Below are 25,026 nucleotides of genomic sequence, written 5' to 3'. Positions count from 1 at the left end.
ACTGTTACAAGCATTTACAGCTGTACGATACTTGATACATGTCTGTTCATTAATGGATATATCTTAAAGTAGTAATGAATAGAAAATTATTTTTTAAACATTTGATCTTTAGCTATTGTAATACTCTATTATACTTAAACGTTAAAATATAATATTGTTCATCTCATTTTAACTACATTAAATGTGAGATTTTTAATGGTAAGGGCAGACTATAAATGGAATTTTGAAACTTCTTTCTCGGTCTGACTTGTAAATCACAAATGAAAATGTTTGGCTGGGAGCTGTGTCTCAGGCTGGGCGCCATGGCTCATGCCTGTAATCCCAGCACTTTGGGAGGCCGAGGCGGGTGGACCACAAGGTCAGGAGTTCAAGAACACCCTGGCCAAGATGGTGGAACCGCATCTCTACTGAAAATACAAAAATTAGCCAGGCATGGTGGCAGGCGCCTGTCATCCCAGCTACTCGAGAGGCTGAGGCAAGAGAGTTGCTTCAACCTGGGAGGCAGAGGTTGCAGTGAGCTGAAATCGCGCCACTGCACTCCAGCCTGGGCAACAGAGCGAGATTCCACCTCAAAAACAAAAAAAGCAGAAAAAAGAAAACGTTCACGGTGAGAGAAGGAGGTGCTTGCTTAGGTGGCTTATTAGGTCAGTAATGTGACTCTCCTTTTCTTCATATAGCACTGTATTTACATAGAAAGAAGAAGCTGTATATTGAAGTTATAGTCCCAGCTTCACAAAGAAATGAACAGTTGAACAATATTGGAAAGCCGTGGTCAACATTTAAAGTTTACTTTTGAAATGACTATTCTTCAAAAATAATTGGTCAATGTTCTTTCTGATTTTAGGGCATATCAAGAGAGGAGATTTCTTTCACAACTCATCCAGAAGTTTATCTCTGTGCTGAAATCAGTCCCACTTTCTGGTATCTTCTTTTTTACTCAGTGCATTTGTGAAATTATCATATAGCTGCCCCTATGGTATTTACTCATCTCTAATCTAAAAACTGTTCTTGGAATGATTTTAAATTGTATTGGCAAAGTGTATGTCCTCTCCTTTTTAAATACATTACCAGTGTGAGTATTGGGACTGCCTTTAAGGGTTATTTTATTTTATTTATTTATTTTTTGAGACAGAGTGTTGCTCTGTCACCCAGGCTAGAGTGCAGTGGCATGATCTCGGCTCACTGCAACCTCCCCCAGCAGGGTTCCAGTGATTCTCCTGCCTCAGCCTCCCGAGTAGCTGGGATTACAGGGATGCACCACCATGCCCAGTTAGTTTTGTATTTTTGGTAGAGACGGGGTTTCTCCATGTTGGCCAGGCTGGTCTCAAACTCCTGACCTCAAGTGATCCATCCACCTCAGCCTCTCAAAGTGCTGGGATTACAGGCGTGAGCCACTGCACCTGGCCTAAGGGTTATTTTAAAGGCACCAGTGTGGTTATTGAAATATTCCTTTATGTAGCAAATTTTTTATCACCTAATTACTAGATCCAGGTCCTGTCTAAGGTGCTGGGATACAGTTGTGAAGAGGAAAATTACAGACCATATTTGCATGTTATTTATAATATGGTGCTGAATAGTGTTTTTAAGTCCTATTGATACCGTTGGAGGAAAAAAGGAGAAATATTACTGAGATATGAGCTAAAAGACTAAATAGAAGGATTTTCCTCCATCATAGCTCCATTTACTGATTTAAAAAGTAAGTATATATATATACTATATTAAAATTATAAAATATAATTAAAATATAATTGTTTAATTATTATTATTTTTTTTTGAGACAGAGTGTCACTCTGTCAGCCAGGATGGAGTGCAGTGGCACAATCTTGGCTCACTGCAACCTCCGTCTCCTGGGATCAAGCAATTCTCCTGCCTCAGCCTCCTGAGTAGCTGGAGTTACAGGCGTGTGCCACCACGCCCGGCTAATTTTTGTATTTTTAGTAGAGACGAGGTTTTACCATGTTGGCCAGGCTGGTCTCGAACTCCTGACCTCAGGCAGTCTGCCTGCCTCGGCCTCCCAAAGCGCTGGGATCACAGGCGTGAGCCACCACGCTTGGCCAATTGTTTAATATTTTTAAGTGGAATATAATCTAAGAACAGCTCTATAGGTATACCATATTTATATAGGTATACCATATTTATATTTTTGCATCAGAAAGTACAGCTTTTAAAAAAACACAATGGAATGAGTTATAAATGCTGACCCTCCAAGTAATATTTTACAATTGAAAATCTTAGCTACGATTCAGTGAGGAATTGATACCAATGCAGTAAATCAGTTGTATCTGACTTAGGGCACAGTACTACTACTAGCATTAGTATAAAGAAAATGTTTTGGCCGGGCGCAGTGGCTCATGCCTGTAATCCCAGCACTTTGGGAGGCTGAGGTGGGTGGATCACGAGGTCAGGAGATCGAGACCACAGTGAAACCCCGTTTCTACTAAAAAGACAAAAAATTAGCCAGGCGCAGTGGCAGGCACCTGTAGTCCCAGCTACTCAGGAGGCTGAGGCAGGAGAATGGTGTGAACCCAGGAGGTGGAGCTTGCAGTGAGCCGAGATTGTGCCACTGCACTCCAGCCTGGGTGACAGAACAAAACTCAGTCTCAAAAAAGAAAAGAAAGAAAACGTTTTATGCTTATAATCTTAAGTCTCTTAATGTTAGTATATCTAAATCTTTCCACTAAGTGCCTTCAAACCTGGAAAGAGGACTAAGATTGGGTTTTCTTGGCACAAAGAATAACATTGAGCGCTTTGAGCTACTAACGTCTATAGAACTAATGTCTGTAATAAAAATTGATATCTCTAACTATGGAATGTTTATCTAGGGTCGTCTAGGTTTCAAAAGCAAGAACATAGGGCCTGCAGTAATTTAACAGCCTATAAACCACTTGCTGTTGCCGCTATTGTTTATATACTGTCAGAAAACAACTTTTTTTTTTTTTTTAAAGATGGAGTCTCATTCTGTCTCCCAGGCTGGAGTGCAGTGGCACAATCTCAGCTCACTGCAACTTCTGCCTCCTGGGTCCAAGTGATTCTCCTGCCTCAGCCTCCCAAGTAGCTGGTACTACAGGTGCACACCACCATGCCCGGCTAATTTTTGTATTCTTAGTAGAGATGGGGTTTCACCATGTTGGCCAGGCTGGTCTTGAACTCCTGACCTCAAGTGATCCACCCTCCTCGGCCTCCCAAAGTGCTGGGATTTCAGGTGTGAGCCACTGCGCCTGGCCAGAAAACATCATTTCTTAATCTTGAGTTTTTATCAAAATTTGTCAGCTTGCTGGCAAAGGAACTAACAGGATGATGACAGTAATTTGCCAGTTCAGAATGGGTATGAAGATAGATGGTTGTGTAGTTAGGAAACAGAAGGCTAATTTTTTAAATATTTTGAGAAGGATTGTAGTTTCCTTTTTAAAATAGGGTCATTAAAAACAGAATGCCCAGATGAGTTGTTGGAAATCTGTGCAGGATAGTCTGAGATGTTAAGATTGCTGTTAGAAGGGAAAAAAAGTTACAGTATAGCTGAGACAAATGATAAGGATATATTTGTGTCTGAAATTGGGATAGCAAGGTTTCTACCTTAGGCAACATGCCCAGTAGGACCAGCTCTCATAAAAAAACATGCAACTTTAGTCACCAGAGCACCATGCATTGTTTTCTAATTTTAAATAGGCCATTTCCAGTAATTTGTCAAGACGTAAATAAAGATACAGAATTCAGAATTTGCTCACTCTTTTAGTTTGGGAAAAAATGTTTTCCTTTGACAGTTACAAGAACAAAAGATAGCAACAAAAGGTTGGTTCGAATGGATTTAATTTAAAAATTGCTCCTTTAAATTGTTATTTTAAATGACTGTATATGTATGTCTCAGAAAACCAGGGTTCCAGTTCTAACCAACCATTCTAGCTTTACACCTTTATCAGGTCATTTTCTCTGATCATGTTTTTCTACCTAGAAAATGAAGATCTAGAATAGATGCTCTCAAAGGTCTTTTCCAGCTAATAATTTCTATACTTCTGTTATTTCAGGGTTTGGATTATGGGCATATGCTAGCTGAAAAAGTTCCAGTTAACATTTCTGTATATATTAATCACAAAAGTATTCACATTTCTTGCTTTACATTAAGCTTTCCGTTTTCCTGTACACTACAAATAAATAAATGGATTTTTATGTAAGCATTTGTAGGATGCCTTCTATAGATCTGGCACTGGGTGTTAGTCACTGCTGTAAGTTTTTAAACTAAGTAGCAACAGGAAACCTAAAATTATCTTTGTTTTAATTGAAACCAACTTGACAGGATGGTTTTAGTTGGCAAAATGGTAGACCATTTCCTGGCATTAGAAAAAAAGCTTTTACTCTGAAAATATTTCATGCCCCAAGGTTGTAATTATTTAAAAACAAAAATAAATGTTTGTAAAAATAGTATACTATGCTCATAAATAGTATATAATAAGCTAGTGATTTAAAAGGTATTTTTATTGTTCTTTGTGTCATTGGCATTCTAATGTTAAAGTAATACATGTACAGTGGAAAAAAATAATAAAAATTACCTCTCTAATTTTCAGTGCACTTTAAAGGTGTGTGTGTGTACATATACGTATGTGTGTGTTTATACATACGAGAAAACTCTCAGAAGTTTAGAATGTAAAGACAATAAGGAAAGTGAAGCAAAACCTGATATAAAACTGCCTTCTAGTTTTTATATCTCTAAGTTTTTTCAAAATCTAATTTAATACAGATTTTTAAAGGTTAATACTTTTAAAATATCTTTGCAAACCTGATTTTTAAAATGTGCTTTTGACCCAAGCTAGATCTTTTATTTTCTCATATTTGTAGAGCTAAGTATCAGGGTAAGGCCTTCCTTAAAAAAATATATATGTGAGATCCTCATTCTAAATCATAGTCCAATTCTGATGAATAAAAGACAATTGACTTTATTTAAGTTATTAAATAACTGCCAGTTTTCAGAAACAGCATGCAAAATGGCCTAGTAAGGAAATTCTATCATGCGTTCTCTCTTATGTCTAGAACCTGTCACTATGGACAAAGTTCATTACTGTGAAAGATTCATTGAACTTATGATTGATCTAGAGGTAAGAAATCTACCGTGACTTTTTTGTTATATAATCATTAGGGGGTCTAAGATTAAGCATATGACCATATATGAAGTATTTTTTTCTTTCCTTTTCTTTTCAATACATATGTATATATTTATTATATATTTCAATTTCTCACATTAATGAGAGAAAGGAAAGGTATATATTTCCTTTCTCTCATTAATTAAAATATATTAAAGGTAAATATGTATATATTTATTATATACATATGTATTATATAATAATACAATACATATTGGGTGCCCATGGATTGTATAATAATATAGTATTGTATACAATATTTATTAATATAGATTATACATTAATAAAAAATTAATACAATACAATAAAATACAATAAAAATACATTAAGAAAAAAATTCTTTTTCTTTTCCCTTTTCTTTTCTTTTCTTTCCTTTTCTTCTTTTCTTTTCTTTTCTTTGAGATGGGGTCTTTCTCTGTCACCAAGGCTAGAATGCAGTGGCGCTGTCTCGGCTCACTGCAGCCTCCGCCTCCCAGGCCTCAAGTGATCCTCCTGATCCACCTCAGACCCCTGATCAGCTGAGACTACAGTTGGGCACCACCACGCCCAGCTAATTTTTGTGTTTTTTGTAGAGACGGGGTTTCACCATATTTCCCAGGCTGGTCTTGAACTCCTGGGCTCAAGCAATCCTTCCACCTTGGCCTCCCAAGTAGGAGGATTGCTTGGGATTATAGGCGTGAGCCACCGTGCCTGGTCTATATGAAGTATTTATTCATCACCTCAAACTGGTTTTACTTTGTACATGTTTCAAGGTGTCACTTAGAGAAGGAAGTCACAAGTAATTGGCCCTTCAGGTTTTCAAATGACTGACTCATCTATCATGGGCTGTTGTTTGTAGAAAAAACATTACATAGTATAGTTATTAAACATGAGTCCAGCAGTGACAATTTATTTTGTGTCATACTTTAATACCCCTCATACAGAGTTTTCTGTAGTGGGTGAAGTCATGGGTTTATAATTGTCTCTTTAAATAATCTCACTTTTCTAAATGTGCCCAATGTTTGTGAAGAAAAATATAGCTGTTGTGTTCAATTTTTTAAAATAAAGATTCTTAAAAAAAAAAAAAGATTTCATACTCTTAGGTGCAGGATTTGCTGACAAGTTCAGACACAGAATTGATGTAGTTCAGATTGAATTGATTTCCTTTCCTTTCTCTCATTAATGAGAGAAATTGAAAGAAAATCTGTTCCTTGTCTGGAGAAGTAAGGTGGTTTTTTGATATGAGTATTAGCATATTGGACTAGCAGTCATTCATGAGATCTTTCAAATTCTAGCTCTGCCAGTAACTAACTTCTAACTTCTGAGGATCTCAATAACTTCATCTATAAAATGAGGATATTTGATTAGATTAGTAATTTTCAAGCTATAGTGTAGGGGAACATGAGGAGAGGAAACAAAGACAGGAATCTCCACATAGGGATTTGTACTTCCTTTTTTCTCAGAGCAACTCCACTTTTAAACATACACACGGTATATATTGGGATTTTATGTAGGATTTTGTTGGAAAACTACTGGCCAAGATGATCTGTGAGATTCCTTAGTGCTAGATTTTCTTTCTTTCTTTTTTTTTCTGAGACAGTCTTGCTCTGTAATCCAGGCTTGAGTGCAGTGGCACGATCTTGGTTCAAGACAACCTCTGCCTCCTGGGTTCAAGCAATTCTCCCTGCCTCAGCTTCCCGAGTAGCTGGGATTACAGGCGCCCATCACCACACCTAGCTAGTTTTTGTATTCTTAGTAGAGATAGGGTTTTGCCCTGTTGCCCAGGCTAATCTTGAACTCCTGACCTCAGGTGATCCACCCGCCACGCCAAAGCACTGGGATTATAGGCATGAGCCACCGCGCCCGGCCTTTATTTTCAATTTTATCTTAAAAGTTCTTTTATCATCATTATTGTTTTTAAAACCAAAAACATTGCCACTGGGTTTATTTACAGCATGAACGGGACCTCTTGCATTGTATACAGTGTGTCTATTGGAAGGTTGGAGGGTACCTTGTATGTGATTAATACTTGAGAGTTAAATATCACTAGATTTCACTTCTAGCTGTGGAGAATAGATGCAAACTTACTGTTATGATGTTTGTTTTTCCCAGGCCCTGCTACCCACAAGGCGCTGGTTTAATACCATCCTGGATGATTCCCACCTTCTGGTTCACTGTTACCTTTCCAATCTTGTTCGTAGAGAAGAGGATGGCCATCTTTTTTCCCAGGTGAATATTGATGTATCTGAACGTATTTATTGTTTTACTTTCTAAATTGATCTTTTCTTTGCCACACAACTGGGAGTATCAGGGCATAACACAAACTCCTAGTTATTTTAAAGTCATGTCTTAATATATAAAATGAATGTATTCTTATATAGGTTGCCTCTAGTAATTATATAACTTTTTGTTAATTATGTATGATTTTTATTATTGGACTAAATTATGATTTGGGGAATACAGTCACACATGTTCACAAGTTTTGATTTTATGTGAAATATAGTAGCTGATGAGCATTAATTTTAAATGAACTGTGCCCCAATAGTATGACTCTTTCTATAAGATGATGGTGACAGATAGTTGATCATGTAGAAGTATACATGCTGCCTTGAATAAGGAAGCTGCAAATGCACTTAACTTTGTTGTCTTGGCTAGGAAGACACAGTATTTTACATTTCCTGTTATGTCATGCAGAAGAAAGCATTTCTTTTGGTTTTGTTTTGTTTTGTTTATGGAGACACAGTTCGCTCTGTCACCCGGGCTGGAGTGCAGTGGCAGTGGCATGATCTCGGCTCACTGCAACCTCCGCCTCCTGGGTTCAAGTGATTCTCCTGCCTCAGTCTCCCCAGTAGCCGGAATTACAGGCATGCACCGCCACGCCCGGGTAATGTTTTGTATTTTTAGTAGAGACAGGGTCTCACCATGTTGCCCAGGTGGCCTCACACTCCTGAACTAAGGCAATTTGGCCACCTCGGCCTCCCAAAATGCTAGGATTACAGGCGTGAACCACTGCACCCAGCAGGAGAAATCATTTTTAACAAACTTCTAATGCTATCTTTCAATGAGATCATAGTTAGAGATACAATTTTGGTATGTGTTTACATATCCCCTTTGTTCTTTTATATCTGGGAGCATTCCTCTTATTCTCTTTTTAAATTTCTGTCTAGTGATTTGCCACATATATTAAAATATATTAAAATCTTAATATCTGATCTGCCATAGATTAGATCTAAAAATAATAAAGATTTGGGGTGAGTGCAGCCAGTAGGCTCTGTTGATGCTGCTGCTACAGGGGAGACATCAGAGCCTCGTTAGCAAGAGAAACTAAGCCAAAGGACTTTGATGGCCATGGAGAAAAAAGAATAACTTAGCTTTCCCTATCTTAGTGTTTTTCCCTAAAAGAAGCAGCACAGCCGGGCGCGGTGGCTCACTCCTGTAATCCCAGCACTTTGGGAGGCCGAGGCCGGCGGATCATGAGGTCAGGAGATTGAGACCATCCTGGCTAACACGGTGAAACCCCGTCTCTACTAAAAGTGCAAAAAATTAGCCAGGCATGGTGGTGGGCGCCTGTAGTCCCAGCTACTCCGGAGGCTGAGGCAGGAGAATGGCGTGAACCTGGGAGGCGGAGCTTGCAGTGAGCCGAGATCGCACCACTGCACTCCAGCCTGGGTGACAGAGCGAGACTCCGTCTCAGACCAAAAAAAAAAAAAAAAAAAAAAAAAAAAAAAGAAGTGGCGTATAAAAAAGTATCTCCAATTATGAATTGCAAAACCTATAGCGAGAGACCTCAGGAGTTCCCTCTGGTGCTATAGCTTTGTAAGTTTTCAGTGATGTAGATAGATAAGATAGATGTTGTTTGTTTCATTAAAATGCTGGGCTTCTTTAGATTATCTCCTTAACGTGTCTTAGGTATTGGGATTGCAGTATAAGTTTTTCTTTGCAGAAGTAGACCATGTATATGAAATAGATTTAACAATTTATTCACATACTTTATTTTCATGTAACTAAAACGTTTTTAGTTGGATATGTTCTAAAATCTTTTTTGTAATGTTTACATTCCTGAGTTTTTTCAGCACCTCTGAGAAACTGTATGAACCTGTTTATTATTTTAAACAGTATTGTGCTTTCTTGCCCTTATGTTCATATGATTTATACATGTAAATGTGTTTCTTCAGCTTTTGGACATGCTTAAATTCTATACTGGTTTTGAAATTAATGACCAAACTGGAAATGCTCTGACAGAGAATGAGATGACCACAATTCACTATGATAGAATTACTTCTCTACAGGTAATTAAAATACATTATAGACTGTGTATGCTCCATAAGGTTTTATCATACTGCAATTTAGGTTTTGTATAGGTACAGATTGAAAACCATGTTAATTTAATAGTGTTTTTATATTCAACATTTTTAACGTTTCTTTTTCCAATGAATTCTTGAAAAATAAGACTTTCTTTTATAACCTGTCTACATTCTGTGAATCAATATACTGATATTTGCTACTCAGAAATGTTAGTTACTGGGCCAGTTTGGTGGATTTAAATATTAGCTCTGCTGTCAGTTTTATTTTATTAAAGAGTATTTCAACATATGGCAGGGGGTGCGTAACCATTTTGCACATTTTTAAGATGAACACATATGATGGGACTGAAATTTACCAATGTAATTCAGATACGCCCAAAAAAGTATCTTCACTTGTTTTCTTTTGCTGATCTTATCTTGTTCTTGAGCTCCAGTTTCTCTGATGGCAGAAGGAAGTTTTATTTGTCAGTTTAAGGTAATCCAGCTATTTCTGTTTAAAGTAATCCAGCTATTTCTGTTTTAAAGAGTCTTTTGTTGGGGGTAAAGATTCAGTTCAAACTCTTTTGTAATCAAGTTAGCTATCTCTTAAGAGATCTCTCTTCTCCAAAGCTGGAGGCATCATGCTACTTGACTTCAAACTATACTACAAGGCTACAGTAACCAAAACAGCTTGGTACTGGTACCAAAACAGACATATAGACCAATGGAGCAGAACAGAGACGTCAGAAATAACACCACACATCTGCAACCATCTGATCTTTGACAAACCTGACAAAAACAAGCAATGGGGAAAGGATCTCCTATTCAGTAAATGGTGCTGGGAAAACAGGCTAGCCACATGCAGAAAATGAAACTGGACCCCTTCCTTACAGCTTATACAAAAATTAACTCAAGGTGGATTAAAGACTTAAAAGTAAAACCCAAAACATAAAAACCCTAGAAGAAAACCTAGGCGATACCATTCAGGACATAGGCATGGGCAAAAGCTTTATGACAAAAAAGCCAAAAGCAATTGCAACAAAAGCAAAAATTGACAAATGGGATCTAATTAAACTAAAGAGCTTCTGCACAGCAGAAGAAACTATCATCAGAGTAAACAGGCAACCTACAGAATGGGAGAAAATTTTTTCAATCTACCCATCTAACAAAGGTCTAATATCCAGAATTTATAAGGAACTTAAACATATTTACAAGAAAAAAACAACCCCATCAAAAAGTGGGCAACGGATATGAACAGACACTTCTCAAAGGAAGACATTTATGTGGCCAACGAACATATGAAGAAAAACTCAACATCACTCATCATCAGAGAAATGCAAGTCAAAACCACAGTGAGATACCATACCATCTCTCACCAGTCAGAATGGCAATTATTAAAAACTCTGGAAACAATAGATGCTGGCAAGGCTGCAGAGAAATAGGAACGCTTTTACATTGTTGGTGGGAGTGTAAATTAGTTCAACCATTGTGGAAGACAGTATGGCAATCCCTCAAGGATCTAGAACGAGAAATACCATTTGACCCAGCAATCCCATTACTGGGTATATACCCTAAAGAATATAAATCATTCTGCTATACAGGCACATGCACATGTATGTTTATTGCAGCACTATTTATAGTATTAAAGACATGGAACCAACCCATCAACGATAGACTGGATAAAGAAAATGTGGCACATATACACCATGGAATACTATGCAGCCATCAAAAGGAATGAGATCATGTCCTTTGCGGGGACACGGATGAAGCTGGAAGTTATCATCCTCAGCAAACTAACACAGGAACAAAAAACCAAACACCGCATGTTCTCACTCATAAGCAGGAGTTGAACATTGAGAACACATGGACACAGAGAAGGAAACAACACACACCAGTACCTGTCGGGGATGGGAGTTGAGGGGAGGGAATTTAGAGGACAGGTCAATAGGTGCAGCAAACCACCATGGCACATGTATACCTATGTAACAAACCTGCACATTTCCACATGTATCCCATTTTTTTTAGAAGAAAAAATAAATAAATAATGGTGTAAAAAGTGAAAAAAAAAAATCTCTGTTTTTCTTCTTTCCTACTAGGTATGTGGAGACACCAAAATAGCCTTATTGTTTTGGAAGAAGGATTAACGCAGATGTCTTTTCCTGCTTTTTTCAGAGCATTAGTGTTTTTGTCCTGTCTCTGCCCTTGAAATAACCACAGCTGGTGTGGCATGTGGTCTATTGTATTGACACAGGCAAGGCATCATTATTGCTTCCAAGGAACTTGGCTATTTGCCCTGTTGAGGAGGCCCTAACTTTGCTTGATGCTGCTAGCATTCTCCTGAGGACTGACTTGTTTATTTCCTTGTTTACACAGTTCATTCTCATGCTTGGGTTGCAGAGTCATTTTGCCATTGTGTGTAGTAATCTCATAATCCCATGGCAAGCTCACTCATGGCAACCTTGGCAACCTTCTGTGTCATCCACCATGGAACACATGAAAACTTCCGGATCTTTTCTGTGCCATGTGGGCATCAAGGAAGACAGGGATATTATTTCAATCACTCTGTTGTTAAATCCCAAGGAAGACTAGGGATATTATCTCAGTCACTCTGTGCAATACTACTATTTCTGTTTTCTTACAGCTTACCCTATGTTGGTTGAGAGTGCTACCCTGTGAGGTCTTTTCCCAGAGTTCCAAACAAAAGCAAGGCACAAGCATAAGTTTTTTGGTCTCTCCTTCCAAGTTCTCTGCAGCCAGAGTTTCCCTTGGGACTTTCTTTTAGTCTTGTTCGACCAGTTCTTGATAATCAAGTGTGTATTTGTTTTTTGCTCCTCTTCTGTCAATAAAGCTAGCCTTTGTGGCTATTTTGTATATATTGAAAATCCTTTTAGATGTCAAAAGCTGAACGCCAACTTTATGTTTTTTACATTTCTGTTATGACAGTTGTAGTTTTTTCTCTTTTTATTATATGCTTCTGTCTGATTAAGGTAGAGGTCACATAAAAGAAGCATATAAGAGACAGAAATGCGTTAATATTTTTATAAAATATTTTCATTCTTAAATAGTAGATGTTTATATTAATATGTAGACATTAATTATTAATATTTTTTGCCATTATTTTCTAGAGAGCTGCTTTTGCACATTTTCCTGAACTCTATGATTTTGCCCTCTCAAATGTGGCAGAAGTAGATACTCGGGAGTCCTTGGTCAAGTTTTTTGGACCTCTTAGGTAAGACAACATGAAAAACTATATATTCTTTTTTTGTATCATGCTCCCTCAATTTTACTTTTCTTTATTGCTTTTAATCATTTTGCAGTACTTTAGATAATATTACTTGTTATTTCACTCTTCGTTGACGTCTACAACTAGTGCTTCTCTCCAGCAGTTTGGTGTCTTTGTCACTTACCCACGTTTGGTAAAGTTTCTGTTTTTTATGACGTATACAATTTTCTTCGATCTGAAATTTTTCTCAGAGTAGAATATAAAGCTGGTCAATCTCATCAGTCATAAACGACATATGACAAAAACCAATAAAGATTCATTATGTGTGATATTAGAGGTGTGACTTAGGGAAATTTTTGCATGTTTAAAATTTATAAAATTAGTAATATCCTCTGGCAGTTAGCTATCTGCTAATATATCCTTTTGAAAATAGTAATAATAATGGCATACATTTATTTACTATGTGATAGACGTTCTGTTAAGTGTGTAAACAACTCTGAAAACATTCATGCTAGAAGTAGGTACCATTTTACGTATAAGGTATCTGGGGCATAGAATAGTTAAGTAATTTGCCTAGGTTACACAGCAAGTAAGTGGCAGAGATACAATTTAAACCCGGATAGTGTGATTTCCAAGCCCTAACTTTTAACTACTATACTGTATCATCTCCCAGCTCTTGGGATAAATTATGTTTAGTTCCTTGACTATTTAAAATGTAATAAACTGAGGTTGGTTTGGTTGTTCATTCTCATATGAGGATTTAATATAATTAATAACACATAGATTCATTTCATTATTTTAAATAACTACATAGAGTTCCATTAAACAGGACCAGCATACTATTTTTTTATTTTTTTATTTATTTTTATTTTATTTTATTTTTTTGAGACGGAGTCTCGCTCTTTCGCCCAGGCCAGACTGCAGTGGCTCACTGCAAGTTCCGCCTCCCGGGTTCACGCCATTCTCCTGCCTCAGCCTCCTGAGTAGCTGGGACTACAGGCGCCCGCCACCACGCCCGTCTAATTTTTTGTATTTTTAGTAGAGACGGGGTTTCACCGTGTTAGCCAAGATGGTCTCGATCTCTGACCTCGTGATCTGCCCGCCTCAGCCTCTCAAAGTGCCGGGATTACAGGCATGAGCCACCGCGCCCGGCCTTATTTTTTTAAAAGTTAATCTCCTATTGGTGAGTCTTTTTTTTTGTTTTTTTTGAGACGGAGTCTTGCTCTATTGCCCAGGCTGGAGTGCAGTGGTGCGATCTCGGCTCACTGCAACCTCTGCCTCCTGGGTTCAAGTGATTCTCCTGCGTCAGCCTCCCGAATAGCTGGGACTACAGGCACACGCCACCATGCCCAGCTAATTTTTAGTAGCAAAGATGGGGTTTCACCATGTTGGCCAGGCTGGTCTCAAACTCCTGACCTCAGGTGATCCTGCCTCGGCCTCCCAAAGAGCTGGGATTAGAGGCATGAGCCACCGCTCCTGGCCTCCTTTTGGTGAATCTTTAATTTTTAAGTTTTGGCTTTTACAAACAGTTCTGCAATGAGCATCCTTTTCGTACTGATTCCTAGAAGCAGAATGGCTGATTCAAACGGGGCATGCGTTTAAAACTTGTTACATATTGCTAAATTTCCTTCAGAAAAGACTATCAATTTACACTTAAACTAACAGCGTATGAGGATTTATTTTTCTCCCTACTAATGCTGGGTAAATTGGATTTTAATTTTTTCTATTTTTATCTCATTTTACTTTGCATTTCCCTGATCTTATTTGGGAAATTAAGCATTTTTCTGTTTTTTTCTTGGCCATTTACATTTCTTCTGTAACCTTCTTATTTTCCTTTGCTATTTTGCATTTCATTGCTTGTCATCTTACTGATTTTAAAGAACTTTTAATATTTTTGGTCCTAATCCCTTTGTCTAGTTTGTGTTGCATTTATTTTCTTTCAGTTTAACTTTGTTTGTAACATCTTTTGTCATTACAGATATTTTAAATTTTTTAATGACAACTGTCATTCTTTTTAATAACTATATTAGATGCTTTATGTAGAAGTCCTTCTCACCCTAAGGTTATAAAATGTTTTCCTATATTTTAAAAATACTTTTATTGCCTTTTTTTTTTTTTTTTACATTTAGCTTAGCTGCATAGTTCATCTGGGGTATTTATTTTTGTCCATAGACATCCTTTACACTCTTAAAAATTATTGAGGATCCCAAAGAACATTTATGTGTATTATATTCATTATATTCACTATAGTAGAAATAAAAACTGGAAAGATTTTAAACATTTATTAATTCATTTAAAAATATCAATTGAGGCCGGGTGTGGTAGCTCACGCCTATAACCCCAGCACTTTGGGAGGCTGAGGTGGGCGGATCACCTGAGGTCAGGAGTTCGAGACCAGCCTGGCGAACATGGTGAAACCCCATCTTACTAAAAATACAAAAATTAGCCACGTGTGGTGGTGCACGCCTGTAATCCCAGCTACTTGGGAGGCTGGGGCAAGAGAATGGCTTGAACTTGGGAGGTGGAGGTTGCAGTGAGCCAAGATCGTGCCACTGCACTCCAGCCTGGGCAACAGAGTGAGACTCTGTCTCAAAAAAAAAAAAAAGTATATTGATTGAAATCTATTATATGTTAGCCATATGTATTGCTAATGAAAAACATATTCTCCAAAATGAAAAAAATGCACCATTAAAAGAGTGTCATTGTTTTACATTTTTGTGACTGATTTAATTGAAGACAGATTTGCAGATCTCCTTCTGGATTCAGTTTGTTGTGAGATATTGTTTTGGTTGAAGTAAATTAAGAAAATTTGGCCTTACACAGAGGGAAGTGTATTTTGATAAGCTTTATCAAATAATTGGGAATGTTCTTCTTTAATACTCTATGAAAACTTGACAAGTGGTAGTTTCTTTAAAAATTAGTTTCAGAGTAGAATCTGAAACCATGTAAGGAAGTCTGTACAATTAAAATGAATTAATCTGAAAAATTAGAAGCTAGGTCTTGCTTATGGATAAGAGGACCCAAGGTGTGAATCCTTCCCAAATTAATCTATAGATATATTTTAATTCCAATCATAATTCTAGCAGGATATTTTATAGAAATTGACAAACTTATTTTAAAAATAACATGGAAAGGCAAAGGAACTATAATAACCCAAACCATTTTGTAACAGAACAAAGTTGGAAGATTTCTACTAATTTCAAAACTTGCAGTAAAGCTATAGTAATCAAGACATTATGGTATTGATACATGGATAGATGTATAGATCAATGGAATAGATTAGAGTCCAGAAATAGACCATACCTATATGGTTAGTTGAGTTTTGACTAATGTGTCAAGGCAACTCAGTAGAGAAAGGATTTCATCAATGGTGCTGAAACAATTAGATATCTATATGCAAAGTATGAACATTGACCCATACCTTGCATCATATACATAAATTAACTCAAATCGGATTATAGACCTAAATGTCAAAATTAAAACTTCTAGGAAGTATGGGAGAAAATTTTTGTGATCGTGGGTTTGTGCAAAGATTTCTATAGACACCAAAGCACAATCCATAATGGAAAAAAAAATGATGAATTGGACTTGATCAAAACTAAGAGACTTCTGCTCTTTGAAAGACATTGATAAGAGAATTAAAAAACACGCTACAGCCTAGGAGAAAATATTGGCTAAATGGGTATTTGATGAAGGAATAGAATCCAGAAATCTCAGAACTCAATACAGCAGCCCCCTACTTTCCGCAGGGGATGTGTTCCAGAACCCCAGTGGATGCCTGAAACTGTAGATTGTACTGAACCCTATATATACTGTGTTTTTACATGTAATGTAAAAACCTATGATAAAGCTATGAAGTAGGCACAGTAAGAGATTAACAACAATAATAATAAGAGAACAGTTATAACAATATACTATAATAAAAGTTATGCGAATGTGGTCTCTCTCTCAAGATATCTTATTCTACTATACTTAACTATTTCCAGACTCTGGTCAACCATGAGTAACTGATATTAGGGAAAGTGAAACCACAGATAAGGGGGGACTCCTATAATAATAAAACAATTTACAGGTGACAAAAGATTTGAACAGACACTTGACCAAAGTAGGTAGATAGATGTCAATAAGCCCATGGAAAGATGCTTAACATGTTTAGTCATTGGGGAAATGCAAATTTAAACCATAAGAAGATACTACATACCTATTAGAATTTGTTTTTTTTTTAATGGATAAGGCCAGGCACAATGGTTCACGTCTGTGATTCCAGCACTTTGGGAGGCTGAGGTGGAAGGATGACTTGTCTACTAAAAATCAAAACAATTAGCCAGGCGTGGTGGCACATGCTTGTAATCCCAGCTACTCAGGAGGCTGAGATAGGAGGATTGCTTGAGCCCAGGAGATCGAGGCCGCAGTGAGCTATATCTTGCCACTGTACTTCAGCCTGGATGACAGAGTAAGACCCTGTCTCAACAAAACCAAAAAAACAAAAAACAACCCCAAAACGGATAATATTGACTCTTGGCAAGGATGTGGAGCAATTGGAATTCTCATAATTGCTGGTGGGAATTCAAAGTGGGATAGCCACTTTGGAAAAATTTGAGTTTCTTATAAAGGTAAACATGAACTTAACATTATGATCCAGTATTTTCCACTTACAGATATATTCAAGAAAAGTGAAAACTTATGTTCACACAAAAATATGTACAAAAATGAATATAGTTGCTTTATTCAAAATCGTCAAAAACTGGACTACACAAATATCCCACAACTGTTGAATGAATAAACATACTGTGATACAGCCGTATCATGAAATACTGCTCAGCAACGTAAAGGAACCAACTACAGATAAATATACAGTGTGGGTGAATCTCAAATGCTCAAATGCATTATGCTAAGTAAAAGCAGCCATTCAAAAGGCTACCTACCTAAGACCAGGCATGGTGGCTCACACCTGTAATCCCAGCACTTTGGGAGGCCAAGGCAGGCAGATCACTTGAGCTTAGGAGTTTGAGACCAGCCTGGGCAACATGGTGAAACCTCGTCTCTACCAAAAATACAAAAATTTAGCCGAGTGTGGTGGTGGGCACCTGTGGTTCCACCTATTCGGGAGGCTGAGGTGGGAGGATTGCTTAAGCCCGGGAGGTGGAGGTAACAGTGAGCTGAGATCATGCCACTGCACTCCAGTCTGGGCAACAGAGTGAGACTCGTCTCAAAAAACAAGCAAGAAAAAAGACTACCTAATGTGTGATTCCATTTATTTGACCTCCTGGAAAAGATAAAATTACAAATAGAAAACTGATTATGGTTGCTGGGCTGGGATGGAGAGGAGGATTTGCTATAAATTAGCATAAGGGATTTTGGGGAGGTGATGAAACCAGTTAAATAGTGGAAAGCTATGAAGCTCATGGTGGCAAATACCAGTTTTCCAAAATTCTAATTTTTCACGTTCACATGGAAGTTCAAATTTTATCATTGACAGCAAATACTGATAGTTGTTTTCCTTGAAATTATAGTCTTATTTCATTCAAAATTTGAAATTTGAAAAAAAATTGGCCATTTGTCCAAGGCTGGTATAAACAGTTTGTCATTTTTTTTTTTTTTTTTTTTGAGATGGAGTCTCGCTCTTTTGCCCAGGCTGGAGTGCAGTGGTGCAATCTCGGCTCACTGCAACCTCTGCCTCCTGGGTTTAAGCGATTCTCCTGCCTCAGCCTCCTGAGTAGCTGGGACTACAGGCGCTCACCACCACGCCTGGCTAATTTTCGTATTTTTAGTAGAGACGGGGTTTCACCATATTGTCCAGGCTGATCTCAAACTCCTGACCTTGTGATCCGCCCACCTCGGCCTCAAAGTACTGGGATTACAGGTGTGAGACACTGCACCCGGTCCAACAGTTTGTTGTTTTTTAAAGTAAAAGTTGTGTGCAAAATATGTACTTCCCATTTTGTCACAGAATTTAAAATAAAACAGGTACTCGAGTCCAAATTTAATAGTATTAATTTTTTTTTACTGCTTCATCAAGGACATTCTTAAATAAAACTGTGAAACAATGTCTTAGTATTGTTATTATTATTGTTATTATTTTTGAGACGGAGTCTCGCTTTGTCGCCCAGGCTGGAGTACAGTGGCGCGATCTCGGCTCACTGCAAGCTCCGCCTCCCGGGTTCACGCCATTTTCCTGCCTCAGCCTCCCGAGTAGCTGGGACTACAGGCGCCCGCCACCACGCCCGGCTAATTTTTTGTATTTTTAGTAGAGACGGAATTTCACCATGTTAGCCAGCATAGTCTCGATCTCCTGACCCCGGGATCTGCCTGCCTCGGCCTCCCAAAGTGCTGAGATTACAGGCCTGAGCCACCTTGCCCTGCCGGTATTAATATTTAAAAGTGTTCTTGGGGACTGCCCAGAAGGATCTTGGGTACAATGAGAGGTTTGCAGAAAATATTTTGAGAACCCTGCACTAAAGCCTTAATTTTCATTGCTGGTTTTTGATATTTGCTGCCCATGTCATAGTATTATATTTGCTTTTTTAAGCTATTTGTAAAAATACATGTTTCAAAAGTGAAGTGAAGTAAGTTACTATGAATAAAATATTGTTCTCTATTCTGCAGTTCAAACACACTCCACCAGGTGGCATCATACCTCTGCTTGTTGCCAACTCTTCCTAAAAATGAAGACACAACTTTTGATAAAGAATTTCTTCTAGAATTGCTGGTAAATATTAATGTTCTCTGAATTTTGCATGTGGTTTTCCTTGCCTTTTAAAGTCATTCTTAAAGATGTAGGTTCATATAGATTTTTTTGTGGGCCAAAGATTAGGCAGATAATTCCCATTTTGTTTTTGGAATTGTATTATCATTTGATTTTTTGTTTTCTCATCTTTCGAATTTCTTTACTCAAGTATTTTATCTCTTCGAACTACTTTCTGGATGAATCATTCTATTAGCAACTATTTATATGCAAATCACTTTCATTGTCTCTTTCAGTTCCTAAAAATTCCTGTGCTATTTTCTGACAATGTAAAACCTCTCATGAGTAAGGTTTTTGGAATTAATAATAACTCTTTGCAATAGAAAGAAATGAGGATTTTTTTCAGGAATTCTTCTTCTTTTTTTGTTTTTTTGTTTGTTTGTTTGTTTTGTTTTTTTGATACCGAGTCTCTCTCTGTCGCCCAGGCTGGAGTGCAGTGGCGTGATCTCAGCTCACTGCAACCTCTGCCTCCCAGGTTCAAGTGATTCTCGTGCCTCATCTTCCCGAGTAGCTGGTATTACAGATGTGTGCCACCACTCCCAGCTAATTTTTGTATTTTGAGTAGAAGATAGAGTTTCGCCACGTTGGCCAGGCTGGTCTTGAACTCCTGGCCTCAAGTGATTGACCCACCTCAGCCTCCCAAAGTGTTGGGTTACAGGCATGAATCACCGTGCCCAACCTGTTTTCAGGAATTCTTCTAATGGAAAATAAGTTTGAGGATAACGTTGATCCTGTGCCTATTAAGGTCTTGTGGCTAGAATTTTATTCCTAAAATTTAAATAGTTCCAACAAAAGAAAATAATTTTTAAAATGTATAGTGCTACAACATTATGTTTTGTTTCCTCCCTTCCCTAAAGGATTTCCCCAGGCTTTGGATTCTTCTACTATTCAATTTATGATCAAAAAGTTAAAACATACATATTGTTTAGATATCATGATTTTTTCTATAATTATACTATCTTCACTGAAGAGAATGTGATACATTTTAAGAATATGTCATTTTAGCATTATTAGATAAACACTTATTTTTCTTTTTCTTTCTTTTTTTTTTTTTTTTGAGATGGAGTCTCACTCTGTCCCCCAGGCTGGAGTGCAATGGTGCAATCTCGGTTCACTGCAACTTCCGCCTCCCGGGTTCAAGCAATTCTCTTGCCTCAGCCTCCTGAGTAGCTGGGATTACAGGTGTGCACCACCACGCCCAGCTAATTTTTGTATTTTTAGTAGAGATGGGGTTTCACCATGTTGGTCAGGCTAGTCTTGAACTCCTCACCTCAGGTGATCCACCTGCTTCAGCCTCCCAAAGTGCTGGGATTAAAGGCATGAGCCACTGCACCCGGTGTAACACTTATTTTCATATTTGAGATAGATTATTAATATTAAGGGTACACAGAGGTCATCATGGAAAGGAACATAGAGTGAGAAGACTAGGGTGATAGATTAATAAACTTTCCCAGATGGTATAGCTAGTTAGTATAAGAATGAAAACTATAGTCCAAAACCTAGAGCTCCTATTTTTTCCTACATTGATTAATGCTAAGTGTCATGGTTTTTAAACCCTTGGCATGTGCCAGGGACTTTGACACTATTTCATATTTCATTGGAAACTTGAGATGTGTGGCACTTTATCTGTTTTAGTGAAAAGGAAACTAAGGTTAGGAAGGTTAAAGTAACGTGCCCAGCTTTTACAGTACTCATAAGTAGAGGAGCTGGGATTTGAACTCAGGTCTGTCTGATTCCAAAGACCATTACCATTGGTTTGTTTCTCATCTTTGATCTATGGAGAAAATAGGAAAAGAAAAAAAAATCGCTTGTTGAACTGCTACAATAACTGATAGGCATGAAACTTCTTCCATAAATTATTTTGATTGAAAAAAGATGCTTCTAACCTTCTGCATGAACTTGTTTCCTTTATTTTAGGTATCTCGTCATGAACGTCGAATTTCTCAGATTCAGCAGTTGAACCAGATGCCTTTGTATCCAACTGAGAAAATTATATGGGATGAAAATATTGTCCCAACTGAGTACTATTCTGGAGAAGGTATGGTAAAGAAGTATGGATTCAGCTGTACAATGAAACAATTTCAGATTTATCATATATAATTGGCAATTATAGGCAGTGTACTTGAGTCTACTCTGTACATTAGGATAATTTCCTGGTGCCCAGAAGTTAACTTTAGAAGCTAGAAAAGATTTAGTATTTTGAATGCTTTAGCACTAAGGGTTTTTATTAAATTTAACTATACACATATCACCCTGTAAAAAATACGACCATAAAGCCCTAAGACTGTTTTGGTTTTTTTTGTTTGTTAGTGTGAGACAGGGTCTTGCTCTGTCACCCAGGCTGGAGCGCAGTGGTGCAGTCTCAGCTCACTGCAGCCTCAGTCTCTGGGCTCAAGTGATCCTCCCACTTCAGCCTCCCGAGTACCTGGGACCACAGGCGTGCACCACCACACCCAGCTTTTTTTTTTTTTTTTTAGTAGAGACAAGGTCTCGCCATGTTGCTCAGGCTGATCTCGAACTCCTGAGCTCAAGCGATCTGCCCACCTCAGCCTCCCAAAGTGCTGGGATTATAGGTGTGAACCACTGCAGCTGACCATAAGACTGTTTTCAAGGAGACCTTATAATGCATGAAGTATAGCTTTCATTTTGTCACTATGATAGGCTGTGTTTGATAGAGCTTTTGTTTTTCAAAGGCTTTTCTTAGGGGCTCTTTTGAATTCTATGTAAAGCAGGTAATGATCACCAAAAAAAAGACATTATCATTTATTGATAGTAAACCCTTAGTGTTGATCCAAAATGGTATTGCCTAGTTTGTTCACTTATTTCCCCAGATTTGGATCTAAACACTTTTCACGCATCCTCTGAGGATGAGAATTTGCCACAACTGAGTATATGCAAAAGTGCATTCAGATATACTTTGAAGGTATATTTCAAAAGAAATTTCAGGACTTTTTTGAACAATGGCATCATTAGTAGAAGAAATGTGACTGTTTTAAAGACATCACAAGTATAAGTATTGGTATATTTACTTAAAATGGTTAATCTAAGACATATCCTAGAGCCATAACTCCGATAGACCCAGTGCACTAATATTGTGCTAGATTTCAGAACATAGGCAGTCTTCATATCTTTTTATGTTCTTACAGTGGTTAATATGTTGCTTTCTCATGTCTAGGGATGCACACCTGGATGATAAAACTATAAAGAAATTCAAGATAGCGATTGCTATAAAAGTCAGAAAATAGTTACTTTCGGGTAAAGGGAAGAAGCTGTAACCAGGAAAGGGCACATAGGAGTATTCTGGGATAGCTGACAAGGTGGTTACAAGGTTTCATTAAAAAAATGTCTTTTACTTTACTGGTACCTTCTATACATCCCTTTTTTTCTTTCTTTCTTTTTTTTTTTTTTTTTTTGTTCTGCTGAAGAACTTGAGTTGTTTGATCATAGAGTTCCCGTAGTCTATAGATTTTTCTGATTGAATACTCATGGTATATTGCAGCATGTTCCTCTGTTCTTTATTTTTCTTGCAAATTAGTACCACCTTGTGCAGAGGCTTGATCAGGCTAAGGTTATCCTTGGCAAGATTCTTGGTGGTGGTGTGTTCTTTCATCAGGAGGCACATACTATCTACTTGTCTCTTTTTTTGTGCTATTAGTAGCTATAGATATTTAACACCTAGATTTGTTAATTCAGTGAGTGTTGCAAAGTGGTGACATTTTAGTTGTCATTTTTTTAAATAAAAATGTGCTATTGAAAGAAATTGAGTTAGATTACAAGTCAGAGTTTACTAATATAAATAATGTTAAATTTTTGTACATCAATGTTTGTTGTATTTAAGTTTATTTTTTTTTTTGGTAGTATGGACAACAATGATGAGACTATGACTTATCAGTAAAATGTGTTCTGGGATTTTTTAAAACCTTTTTGATATTGCAGCTCAGTGGTCACTTATTGTCTAAGAGAAATAGTGTTAAGTGAGAATAATGAAAAGGGGGAGTCTGGAATAACATACAAACAATGTCTGGTCCTTAAAGTTTAGCCAGAAGGCAAGTTCAGAGCACAATAATAATCATTGGAGATTGATTTATGCAATGTAACATAATAATTCAGTGTTCATGCTAAATTTTGTCATGGGCTAAATTTATGGTAACATTATTCACTTCAGTATTTTGCCAAATATAAATTAGGTGATAAGGGAAGAAGTTTTAAACTACTTGAGACTGTTAGTACAAGTATCTTTAAATACTTTGAAGGAGTACTGTTTACATACAGATCACTCATATGCAGATTACATGTATTAATAAAACTCATCCTTCACCCCAATTCTCTCTCTTTTTTTTTTTTTATTTGAGACGGAGTTTTGCTCTTGTTGCCCAGGCTGGAGTGCAAGGACATGATCTTGGCTTCCTGCAACCTCTGCCTCCCGGGTTCAAGTGATTCTCCTGCCTCAGCCTCCTGAGTAGCTGGGATTACAGGCGCCCGCCATGACACCCAGCTAATATTTTGTATTTTTAGTAGAGATGGGGTTTCACTATGTTGGCTAGGCTGTCTCAAACTCCTGACCTCAGGTGATCCACCGGCCTCGGCTTCCCAAAGTGCTGGGATTACAGGCGTGAGCCACCGTGCCCGGCCTCACCCCTAATTCTTAATAGCCAACATTTATTAATCTGGTTTTAACATCTGTGTGAAAACAAAAATAAGTTGTTATCAGATATGCTGCATTTCAGGCATTCATTAGATTCTTATAGTTTTGAGGTGCCAGTTTTTTAATACAGAGAACAAATATCTGATTAAAAGAATAATTCAGGCCGGGTGCGGTGGCTCACGCCTGTAATCTCAGCACTTTGGGAGGCCAAGGTGGGCAGATCACAAGGTCAGGAGTTCGAGACCAGCCTGGCCAACATAGTGAAACCCTGTCTCTACTAAAAACACAAAAAATTAGCCAGGCATGGTGGCAGGTGCCTGTAATCCCAGCTACTCAGGAGGCTGAGGCAGGAGAATGGCTTGAATCTGGGAGGCGGAGGTTGCAGTGAGACGAGATTGTGCAGGTGACAGAGTGAGACTCCGTCTCAAAAAAAAAAAAAAATTGAAATATGGATGTTTTTTTCCTTTTCAGGTTGTCTTGCTCTTCCCAAATTGAATTTGCAGTTTTTGACTCTTCATGACTACCTGCTAAGGAACTTTAACCTCTTCCGCTTAGAATCAACTTATGAAATTCGTCAGGACATTGAAGATAGTGTCAGCAGAATGAAGCCATGGTTAGTAAATTGGTTCCACCTGTAATGAAGAGATGCAAACAGTGACTGATAAACTTCTGTCAGAAACCTTATAAGTATATTTAGAAATAATATACTGAGACAAAAGTGCCCTCTAAAATAGGAGATATTTACTCTTTGAGACATTTTTAAATGTGAATTAACATACATCAAAAGTGCTAAAATATAAACCACATATCTGGGTACTTGGGAATGGGAGTGGGAGACTGGGGATAAGGGAGAAGAAGTCGTCATGCTCAAGAAGGGAAGGGGGAAATGTAGAGGGAGTAGGTCAGACCTTACTTAAAGGCCGATTGGAAGGCTAGGGGTTGGCCAAGCAGGCCCGTACTAGGTCAGAACAGTTTAAGTCCTGGAGGAAGCTTATGATAAAGGGGTGTACCATTAATCC

At 37.7% G+C, this 25,026-nt stretch overlaps 1 protein-coding gene across 1 annotated transcript in view, besides 1 other annotated feature; it reads left to right on the top strand.

The window, feature by feature from the left end:
- The window catches only part of AQR (aquarius intron-binding spliceosomal factor), a 117,961-nt gene that overhangs the window by 30,085 nt on the left and 62,850 nt on the right, over nucleotides 1–25,026 (top strand). The window contains exons 9-16 of the mRNA NM_014691.3: nucleotides 845–921; nucleotides 5,023–5,087; nucleotides 7,224–7,340; nucleotides 9,287–9,400; nucleotides 12,520–12,623; nucleotides 19,224–19,326; nucleotides 21,280–21,400; nucleotides 24,479–24,620. Of these exons, the coding sequence (NP_055506.1) occupies nucleotides 845–921; nucleotides 5,023–5,087; nucleotides 7,224–7,340; nucleotides 9,287–9,400; nucleotides 12,520–12,623; nucleotides 19,224–19,326; nucleotides 21,280–21,400; nucleotides 24,479–24,620 (843 nt within the window). The remainder of the gene's footprint in view (nucleotides 1–844; nucleotides 922–5,022; nucleotides 5,088–7,223; nucleotides 7,341–9,286; nucleotides 9,401–12,519; nucleotides 12,624–19,223; nucleotides 19,327–21,279; nucleotides 21,401–24,478; nucleotides 24,621–25,026) is intronic.
- Nucleotides 11,556–11,850: a silencer, noted in NCBI's record as "tiled region #15538; HepG2 Repressive non-DNase unmatched - State 15:Elon". NCBI's record gives its function as "represses a minimal TATA promoter and a strong SV40 promoter by Sharpr-MPRA in HepG2 cells {active_cell/tissue: HepG2}" and the evidence as "EXISTENCE:reporter gene assay evidence [ECO:0000049][PMID:27701403]".

This window comes from Homo sapiens, chromosome 15 (genome assembly GCF_000001405.40).
Source record: "Homo sapiens chromosome 15, GRCh38.p14 Primary Assembly".
Classification (NCBI taxonomy): domain Eukaryota; kingdom Metazoa; phylum Chordata; class Mammalia; order Primates; family Hominidae; genus Homo; species Homo sapiens.
The sequence above is the reverse complement of the archived record's forward strand: the minus strand, read 5'-3'. Positions and strand labels throughout refer to the sequence as shown.